This window comes from Homo sapiens, chromosome 19 (genome assembly GCF_000001405.40).
Source record: "Homo sapiens chromosome 19, GRCh38.p14 Primary Assembly".
Classification (NCBI taxonomy): Eukaryota; Metazoa; Chordata; class Mammalia; order Primates; family Hominidae; genus Homo; species Homo sapiens.
The window spans coordinates 39,654,170-39,665,000 of NC_000019.10; the positions used below are offsets into that span (position 1 = coordinate 39,654,170).

The 10,831-nt window shown below is 41.7% G+C and overlaps 1 protein-coding gene across 1 annotated transcript; it reads left to right on the plus strand.

The window, feature by feature from the left end:
* Nucleotides 1–1,743: 1,743 nt before the first annotated feature.
* LGALS16 (galectin 16) lies at nt 1,744–6,478 on the plus strand. Its single transcript, NM_001190441.3, has 4 exons — nt 1,744–1,807; nt 3,714–3,790; nt 4,291–4,501; nt 6,226–6,478. The coding sequence occupies exons 1-4, from the start codon at nt 1,793–1,795 to the stop codon at nt 6,349–6,351; spliced, it is 429 nt and encodes a 142-aa protein (NP_001177370.2). The 5' UTR covers nt 1,744–1,792; the 3' UTR covers nt 6,352–6,478.
* Nucleotides 6,479–10,831: the final 4,353 nt, after the last annotated feature.

Genomic DNA, 10,831 nt, shown 5'->3' on the forward strand with positions numbered 1-10,831 from the left:
TAGGATGTAGGCATAGGCAAGGACTTCATGACTAAAACACCAAAAGCAATGGCAACAAAAGCCAAAATTGACAAATGGATCTAATTAAACTAAAGAGCTTCTGCACAGCAAAAGAAACTACCGTCAGAGTGAATAGGCAACCTACAGTATGGGAGAAAATTTTTGCAATCTACCCATTTGACAAAGGGCTAATATCCAGAATCTACAAAGAACTTAAACAAATTTACAAGAAAAAAACAAACAACCCCATCAAAAAGTGGGCAAAGGATATGAACAGACACTTCTCAAAAGAAGACATTTATGCAGCCAACAAACACAGGAAAAAATGCTTATCATCACTGGTCATTAGAGAAATGCAAATCAAAACTACATTGAGATACCATCTCACACCAGTTAGAATGGCGATCATTAAAAAGTCAGGAAACAACAGATGCTGGGGAGGATATGGAGAAATAGGAACGCTTTTACACTGTTGGTGGGAGTGTAAACGAGCTCAACCATTATGGAAGACAGTGTGGCCATTCCTCCAGGATCTAGAACTAGAAATATCATTTGACCCAGCATCCCATTACTGGGTATATACCCAAAGGATTATAAATCATGCTACTATAAAGACACATGCACACGTATGTTTATTGCAGCACTGTTCACAATAGCAAAGACTTGGAACCAAACCAAATCCTTCAATGATAGACTGAATTAAGAAAATGTGGCACATATACACCATGGAATTCTATGCAGCCATAAAAAAGGATGAGTTCATGTCCTTTGCAGGGAGATGGATGAAGCTGGAAACCATCATTCTGAACAAACTATCACTAGCACAGAAAACCAAATACCGCATGTTCTCACTCATAGGTGGGAATTGTACAATGAGAGCACTTGGACACATGGCAGGGAACATCACACATGGGGGACTATCATGGGGTGGGGGGCAGGGGGATGGATAGCATCAGGATAAATAATGTAAATGACGAGTTAATGGGTGCAGCAAACAAACATGGCACATGTATACCTGTGTAACAAACCTGCACATTGTGCACATGTACCCTGGAACTTAAAGTATAATAATAATTTTTTTTAAATCTCACCTTTCTCCCAGAATCTGCAGAAGAAACAGTCTCCCTCAAACTTTGATTTACATGGACACCAACAGAGGGTGTAGCTAGAGCCCAAGTGTGTGACAGTCAGATGAAAGTGGCCCTTACCTAGCAAAGCCAAGTGGCTTAGTGTGGGGCAGGTTCATGCAAGAAATTTCTCTACTTCTCTCTGCAGATCCTCCTCAGGATCAAGGTCAGTGCTCTCCCAGAACATTTAAAGGCAGAGAGAAGAATTACCTTTTAGGGCTAACTTGTTTCCCCCAAAATCTCCAACTTTTTTTTTCTTGTTTAGCCATTGTACAAAATTGGGAAAATGTACACCTTCTGGGTAGATTCTGCATAGTGGAGAAAAGGCTTGAGAGGCACAAAGGCTGGGCTTTACAATCACTACCCCTCACTCCATCATCCTTATCTATGCATTTCCCTGGTAACCCAATCCACAGTCTGGTACCTTCCCCAATGTCATTTCTGCTGCATTACAGACACAGACTTGCAAATAGTTATGGTTGTGACTGAGTTTCTTCGTGACACCTGACCCTTTCTCATGCTGCAAGGAAAGCTTGCTGGGAGGAGCATGGAATCTGGAATGATGCCAGAGGGCAAAGCTGAAAGGGGTCATTTAAGTGCTGCAACTCAGAGATTCACTCAGAAGACTGGACACAATTCCGAAGGTCGCCCAGAAGGAGAGGACAATGTCATTTCTAACTGTGAGTTGAAAAGGCACAGCCTTCAATAATCTCAAGTCACACAAAACCAAGAAAGATGTGGGGTATTTTATGAGATGAAAATATGAGCATTCCTACTGTGAATGCTTTACTGAGAGTTGTGGGTGTGTGGAAGAGAAACACTGAGGCTGGGTATCTGAGATGCTTGTAGCATGTGGGTTGTGGATCCTGGACAAATGTAACCCTCTGTGAGCATGAGGTGGTATCTGATGAGAGTGAACTCTGATGAGATGATGTGACTTTAGGTGGGAGGTGGATGGCACACCAGGTCAAGCAGGTGTTTGTGTGAGTGTAAGGGGGGTGATTGTACTTTGTCTTCCTCTTTGTGATGTGAGTGTGTGTTAGCACAGCCAGACCAGTGCATGGTCATCTTTATGTGCGCAGTGAGCAGGTGTGTGTAACTCAGTGAGTGGCATGGCTCTGTGTGACTGTGGGTGTGTGTGCTGGGATGTGACTGAGTATTGAAGGGAAAACACGCATGTGGCCTTCTGTGCATGTGAAGGTTCCTCCCCACACAACAGCACTTCTGATGAAGGAACTGTGTGTCTTTTCATGTGTGGCAATGTGGATCCCAGGTGGCTTAACTGGTAGGGATCTTGGAGATTGTGAGTTACCAAGGACTTGTTTCAGATCACTTATGAGAGCAGAATGTATGATCAGTAGATGTCTCTTCCCAGTAAGAGTGGGGAAGAGGAATGGAGACTATGGGGGTGATGGATCCTCAGGTGGGGTCTGCACAGAGTGACCACTGTCTCTTGCCTCCCAGGCTCAGCTTCCCTGTCCCCAGCCTATCCTGTCCTTTTCATTGTGGGACAGGAGGTTTGCTAGAGAAGGATATTAGAGGCCATGGTTTCAGAGACTGAATCACGTAAAATATCCACTGTAAGCTATGTCTCAACTGAGTCTAAACTTGTTCCTCCACCCATGAAGGAACAAGTCTAGTCTCAGTTCAGACAGAGCTTACAGTGGATATTAATCAACAAAGCAGCTGGGTTCACTGGCTCACGGCTATAATCCCACCAATCTGAGAGACAAAGATGAGAGGATAACTTGAGGCCAGAAGTTTGAGGCCAGTCTGGGTATCATAGTGAGACCCTTTCTTTAAAAAACTTTAAATATCAGACTGCCAGAGTGGCAGGCACCTTTTGCCCCAGCTACACAAGAGGGGGCAGATGTGTGAGGATCACTGCAGCCCAGGAGTTCAACGTTTCAATGAGCTATGATCGCACCACTGCATGTCAGCCTGGGCAACAGAGCAAGACCCTATCTCAAAAATACAGAAAAATCATCAACCACTTGTAGTCATTGTAGAAATCAATCATTCCCTCCAGTTATGTCCCTGACCCACAGGCTTCACTTGTGCAAGTACTGGGGCTGTGCTGTCAGTAATGTGTGCCACTTCTTGGAAGGACGTCCATTGCCCTTGATGATTGTGAGAGTTGAAAATAAGGCAGATCAGTGTTTCAGGAGGACTCCCCTGTTCTGTTAGGTCACCCCTAACAGGCCCTACACATGCCAGGGATTAGGGTAAAAGTTTTACATGTATTAACTGCTCTATTATGGAGAACTTCCTACACAGTAGGAATTCATGATAATCCTCCTTGTTTTAGGGAAACTGAGGAAGTCAAGTAACCGATCTAAGATTGCACTGCTAGTAAGAGGCAGAATGAGGACTGGAATCCAGGCTTCTTGGCTCCTGAACCCTTGCTCTTACCTATGGGTCCACCATACCTTCAGGAATGTGGGGCCCTGACTGTGGTAGAGTGAATGGGGAGAGTCCACAGAGCCTGCCCTGTGATCTCTAACCTCCTGCACCATGGGAATATGTTACAGGAAGGGAGACTGCACCTGACCCTGCACCTCTCACTTATTCTCAATACCCTGGCAGGTGCCATACAAACTGCCTGTGTCTTTGTCTGTTGGTTCCTGCGTGATAATCAAAGGGACACTGATCGACTCTTCTATGTGAGTACTCCATGGTCCAATGGAGGGGGTGGAGGAGAAAGGAGAATATTTGCTAAGAGTTTGACCTTATGTGTGGGTGATGTGGAAATGTCTAATTGGCAGGATGGAGGCCCCATGCAGGTGCAGGTCCTGGAGACCCTCCAGCACCAGGCATGAGACCTGCAGCAACTGCATGTGGGCCAGCCATGGGGCCTAGGGGAGGAGAATACTCAGTGGGTTGGGACTGTGGCTCTTTATCAAGGGGCATAGAATTTTCAGGGAATGAACAAGTCACAGGCCCAGGTCAGTGACTGTGATTCAGTTTTCATCTGGGGATGAGGGGCACAGCATCTCCCTGCAGGGGGCACGAGGAGCTGAAGCATCCCCACAGGGACCAGGCCTGCAGTATCATCAGAGAGAATTTTACCCTGGGTAAATGGGGGAAGGGATTTGTGTGCGTGTCAAGTGTGTGTCTGTGCAATGAAGGAACCTGTCCAATATGCTGTGTGCTTTGCCCTCAGCAACGAACCACAGCTGCAGGTGGATTTCTACACTGAGATGAATGAGGACTCAGAAATTGCCTTCCATTTGCGAGTGCACTTAGGCCGTCGTGTGGTCATGAACAGTCGTGAGTTTGGGATATGGATGTTGGAGGAGAATTTACACTATGTGCCCTTTGAGGATGGCAAACCATTTGACTTGCGCATCTACGTGTGTCACAATGAGTATGAGGTGAGCACCCCAGGAGCTCGCAGTACCCAGGCTCTTTGGGATCCCAGAGCAGGAGTCAGCTCTCATTGACCTGGCCTCACCAGTCCCTCAGGGCCCATCTCCCGTAACTACCCCTGCCCCAGGTTTTCATCACAGAGCACCCTCTGCTTGCACTGCCGTCCTCAGCTCTTTCCCAAATCTGACCAAGGTCAAGGTCGGCTCATCTTCCATTTCCCCCAAAGTGGAGAATCTCCTCTGTCTTTTCACATAGTGCTCATTTCTACTTATGCCATTATTTAAATTTTCATGTAGCTGAATGAATACAATATACTTAAGAAGAAAGTTTTTTCTATCAATCAAAAATTATGTCTTCGTCTCACTTTTGGGCCCCAATTCTACTCATACGAATAACATTACCAGAGCTCTGCTCTCCTTCAGAGAGAATCCTTTTTCTTTTTTTTTTTTTTTGAGACAGAGACTCACTTTGTCATCCAGGTTGGAGGGCAGTGACGTGATCTCAGCTCACTGCAACCTCCACCTCCCAGATTCAAGCGATTCTCTTGCCTTAGCCTCCCAAGTAGATGGGATTACAGGCTGATTTTTTTATTTTTAGTAGAGACGGGGTTTCACCATGTTGGCCAGGCTGGTCTTGAACTCCCAGCCTCAAGTTATCAACCCAATTCAGCCTTCCAATATAGTGGATTACACGCATATGCCACCGTGCCAACCCCTTCAGAGGAAATCTTTGCCTATGGAAGCATATAGATATGTCTATGATTTCATTTGTTTTTAAGTAAATCCTGGTATGTTGCTCTACACATTATGCTTTAGGAACTAAGTTGGTTTTTCATCAAAGAATATATCTTGAAGACATTATCAATCCATGTTTCTGCTTCAATTGTTTATTTGGGCATTGAAGTTGTTTCCAGTATTTTGCTCTCACAAATGATGCTGTATTAAGCTTTCAAATAAATCCTTTTGTCATTACCAACCTCCCAATACTTACATTGCGATATAATTACAAAAAATGAAAAAACTGGTTGAAAAATATGTGCATTTTAAATTTGAAAAATTAATACTAATAAGGTGACTCTCTATACAGCCTCAATATAAGGAATACATCCATACTTTCTTACTTTCTCTAACGAGTAGGCCAAAAGATTCACATCTTATTCAGATTCAAGTGAGGGATCTTTTCCTATGCTTAGAAGTTGTCGAAGATAATATCCTATGTTATACAAGACCTGTCCTCCTTTAACTCTCTAAGAACACTGGGTTTCATTCTTTGCCATTAACACCTCAGATGTAGGCTACTCCAAAGAGGAACTGTGCCATCAGTAGTGAAAGACAGTCACAGTTCATGGAACTGAAAAGTATGCATTTCAGTGAACATGGTCTCGCACTAACCCTGTGGCAGGTCCTGTGCGAGATGCAGGGTCTCAAGTTCCTGAGACACAGTTGCTGGTAATGGGGTTGTCCAGGTTAGAAGGGAGGCTGAATAAACAGGGACTGTGTGACACAGAGTGTAGAACTTCACTAGATAAGAGGAAACATTAGAAATAAGGTCAGCAACTGTCTCAAATAGGCACAAAATGTCATCTGTAAACAGAAGTGTATCTACAACATTCGCTTGTATAACTAGGAGTTTTCTTGGGGAATGTTATTGGTACTAGGGCAGAGTAGAGAAGAGGCTGAAAACTTGTTGGGTGGCATACTGTCTTTCTGATGCATTTTTCCTCTTAAAGGTAAAGGTAAATGGTGAATACATTTATGCCTTTGTCCATCGAATCCCGCCATCATATGTGAAGATGATTCAAGTGTGGAGAGATGTCTCCCTGGACTCAGTGCTTGTCAACAATGGACGGAGATGATCACACTCCTCATTGTTGAGGAAACCCTCTTTCTACCTGACCATGGGATTCCTAGAGCCTGCTAACAGAATAATCCCTCCTCAACCCCTTCCCCTACACTTGGTCATTAAAACAGCACCAAACCGTACATGATTTGGTTCTTGCTTTAAGAGGGGGAAAGAGGACGTGATCATCCCCAAAAGGGGCCAGGGCATTCTATGGGAGGCATCAAGAAATCAAAGGGGATAAACCTTCCTGTGACAAAGGGAGTGAGTGACAAGGTCCATGGAATGTCTGATAAGACATTAGGAACAGCATCCTTCTATAGTACGTAGTTGACGTCAGACAGTCTGAACCAAAATACTTACCCAATCTCAGATGACTCACGGCACTTAAATGTTAGATAGCTACTTACAGCCACACAGGTGTACCTAGTAGCTTTGGGGAAAACCTATAACTTTAGGAAAATTATGTGGAATTTCTTAATTTTTCCATTGTTCTCAGGATGCTTATTGTGTAGGAACACTATGCCTGGCTTTGTGCAGGCTGCTGTGAAGGAAGTGAAGAAAAGGATGACAAGTTTTGCATGTAAAGTTTTCAATCCAAGCAATAGAGAATCACTGGAGCCCAGTGATTCCCCTTAAAGAATACCAATTATTCTTATTTTCAAATATTTGAAAAGTTTTTCATTTTATGTGGGGAGAATCCAGGGGTTTCTCTTTAGAAATAAATGGTCATGGTTTTAGATCAGAGAACACGTAGATTATTATTGGAATAGACACAATTCATGTCCATGGACACAGTGAGCAGATCCTGCTTTGCTGCTATTCTTGCGATAAATTGCAGCATAGAAAACTGCCCAACACATATTGGCTAAAAGCAATCATTTATTTTGATCTCTCCCAGCTTTACAGGTTTACTGAATTCATGTGAGTGGTAGGTCATGTGATGGGAGTCACGTTATTTGAGAGATCTTTTAGGCTGGGATTTCAAGGGATGCTTTACTCTTGTCCAATTCAACACTAGGGCTGAGTGAACACCTGGAAACTGGCTGATTATTTCCTTCACTACCTCACCTTCCCATTCATGCCTTTAATTTCCTCAAATAGACTCTCACAGTTCTTAGACTTAATGAATGGTGACTGGCTTTCACCAAGGTAAGCCTTCCAAAAGGCTCATGGAGAAGGTGCACAGCATCACAGGACCTACCTTTGAATGGCAGACAGTGTCACTTCTATGACTTTACATTGATCAAGATGAGTCACACAGACAGCCCTAATCAAAAGGAGAGGACTCCACAAGCTGTGGTTATTGTGACTGTAGTCATGAGGGGCCATCCTTGGCAACTAGTTCCACTCAGAACTACTTCCCATATACCAAAAACACACCCTGTAAGGAATCTCTGAAGGCATACAATTATAGGAACAGGCCTCAGAGTAAAGTGCAGTGTCTTATCTAATCAGGATATGGTGTCTATGATGTGACTACAACTTATCACTTGCAATCTCTCTCAACATGTGCATCAAAGGAACACATTATCTGCTTTATACAAATCAAGCAAAGAAGACTGAAGGAGACAGGAAAAAAGGCAATGAAAACACCTATTTTAGAGGGGCAAAATAAAATAGACAGCAGTCACTAATCTGTATCATTGGTGAAACCAACCAGACACCTATTTTCATTTTCTCTGGGAATGTTTCTCCGTAGCACTTGCCCTCACCCTCCATTCTCAGCTTCTTGGAGTTCCTACCAAGATGGCAGAATAACAGCCCTTTCCCTATGCCTGGCCAACATGTTGAAACCACATCTCTACTAAAAATACAAAAATTAGCTGAGCATGGTGGCAGGCACCTGTAATCCCAGCTACTTGGGAGGTTGAGGCAGGAGAATCACTTGAACCCAGGAGAAGGTGCTTGCAGTGAGCTAAGATTATGCCATTGCACTCCAGCCTGGGTGACAAGAGCTAAACTCCATCTCAAAACAAAACAAAAAGAAATCTAAATATAATTGAGTTGAATATTTGAATTTTTTATTGACATTTCAAATTAGATTATAATTCAATTTAAAAGAGCATCTCATAGAAGCAGATGTACTCAATTATGTTAACGCTGTGGTTTCATGTAAGCAATTTGTTTTGTGAAGGGACACAAATCCAACCAGATTTTAACAGTGTATAAATATGTATGTATTAATTTAATTACAATGACAATACTCTCAACTCCCCATTTGAATAAAGGAGAGCATCTGATCTCTGTTCTGGGGCACCGTGCACTATAGGTGTGTGGAAATACAGATGCCCTCAGCTGTGGGGTAGGCTCAGTGGGACCTGGAGTGCTGGAGCCCCTGGGCCATTCACCTCTGGCTACAAAAGTCATTGTCTATTTATCCCCAGCTGCTATAGAAATATTATTTTCAGTGGCTGTCATGATGCAAAAGAAAAGAAGCATGGAGATTTATTAAACCTTTACATATAAGTTATGTTAGTAAATAAAGTGAACTTTCTTCTGGCTTAACTAAAAAATCTATAGTAGTATTTATGCCTTTTGGAAAATAGAGATGGCAATTTAAATATTATGAAGCAAAGCAACTGATTATCAGGTAAGACAACCAACTACAACTGCAGAATTGTAGAGGTTATGGGTTAAATGTATAAGAATATTTCATAGCAATAATCTTTTAAGACTATGCAAGAGACTCCACAGTGGAGTAGAAATTAGAACAGAATTAATAATACTGTGTATGCTCTCAGTTCACCAATTTATCAAAACTAGCTTTATGATGCAGGAGGGTGTCTGCCCTTTTGCAATTGGAAGAAAAGAAAGAATATTTCATTTTTCGACTCTTTAGATTTTCTTCACTAACAGTATTTCCACAGCTAAGTAAGGGATTTGCAAGTAGCATCAAGAGAAAAAAGCAGGCTTGAGCAGCTTTTAAAATATGGTCTTAAAATATGGAAATTGGAGCCATGTGTGGTGGCTCACACTTGTAATCCCAGCACTTTGGGAGCCTGAGGTGGGAGGATTGCTTGAGGTCAAAAGTTTGAGACCAGCCTAGGCAGCATAGCAAGATCCCCATCGTTACAAAAAATAATAATTTTTTAAAAAATCAGCTGGATGTGGTGGTGCATGCCTTAGAGTCCTAGTTACTTGGGCGGCTGAGGTAGGAGGAGCTCTTGAGCCCAAGAGTTCAAGTCTGCAGTGAGCTACAATTGCACCACTGTACTCTAGCCTGGGAAACAAAGTGAGACTCTCTCTCTCTCTCTCTCTCTCTCTCTCTCTCTCTCTCTCTCTATATATATATATATATATATATATATATATATATACACATACACACACACACACACATACATACATATATATGTATGTATATATACACATATATATGTATGTATATATACACATATATATGTATGTATATATACACATATATATGTATGTATATATACACATATATATGTATGTATATATATACATACATATACATACATATATATGTGGAAAAGGGAAGGGGCCAAGAATGTCAAAGACATTATTAAAGAAAAGGAAAGATTTCTCCTGCCAAATATCAGAAGTTTTATAAAGCTACAGCAATTAAGATAGTGTGGTCTTCATTGATAAACTGACCAATGAAACAGAATAGAGAGCTCCCAAACAAATCTCCACAAATTTAATATTTGATATGTGATGCAGGTGACATGGCAGATCAGCAAAGAAAGAAAGGACTTTTCAATACATAGGAAAGAAAAATAATGGTTACTGATATAGGAAACAAAATGAAATTATATTCCTTCTTCGCTCTATATACAAACATTAAATTCCAGATGGACCAAAGACTTATGTGTCAGAAACAAAACTTTAAAACTTTTAGTAGAAAATGTAAGTGAATGAGACACAAAAAGCCATTTAACCATTAAAAAAGATTAGATGTTTTGACTATCACAAAATTGAGAACTTTTTACATCAAAAAGTGAAAAGATAAGCTGGGCATGGTGTCTCAAGCCTGTAATCCCAACAGTAGATCACCTGAGGTCAGGAGTTTGACACCAGGCTGGCCAACATGGTGAAACCCTGTCTCCACTGAAAATATAAGAAATTAGCCAGGCATTGGTGGCAGACACTAGCAATCCCAGCTACTTGGGAAGCTGATGCACGAGAATCTTCTGAACCCGGGAGGTGGAGGTTACAGTGAGCCACTGCACTCCAGCCTGAATGGCAGAGTGAGACTCTGTCTCAAAAAAAAAGTAAAAATTAAAAAATAAAAGTAAAAAAGTGAAAAGATAAACTATAAACTAGAAGAAGATATTTGCAGTACCTAAAACCTATGAAAGATTAATATCAAATCAACAAAGTATAAGGAGTTCCTATGAATTAATTTTAAAAATAGCATCCCAAAAGAAAATTGGGAAAAGACATTAATAGGGATTTCACAAAAGAGAATGCCCCCAAAACATAAAAATTTTCTCATCCTCATTAGTAATCAAGAAAATGCACAAGATACT

Bases quoted from the DNA above. Each gene is read 5' to 3' on its own strand.
- LGALS16 (NM_001190441.3), top strand. The intron at 3,791-4,290 runs GTGAGTACTCCA...CTTTGCCCTCAG, and splicing joins ACACTGATCGACTCTTCTAT to CAACGAACCACAGCTGCAGG. The intron at 4,502-6,225 runs GTGAGCACCCCA...TTCCTCTTAAAG, and splicing joins TGTGTCACAATGAGTATGAG to GTAAAGGTAAATGGTGAATA.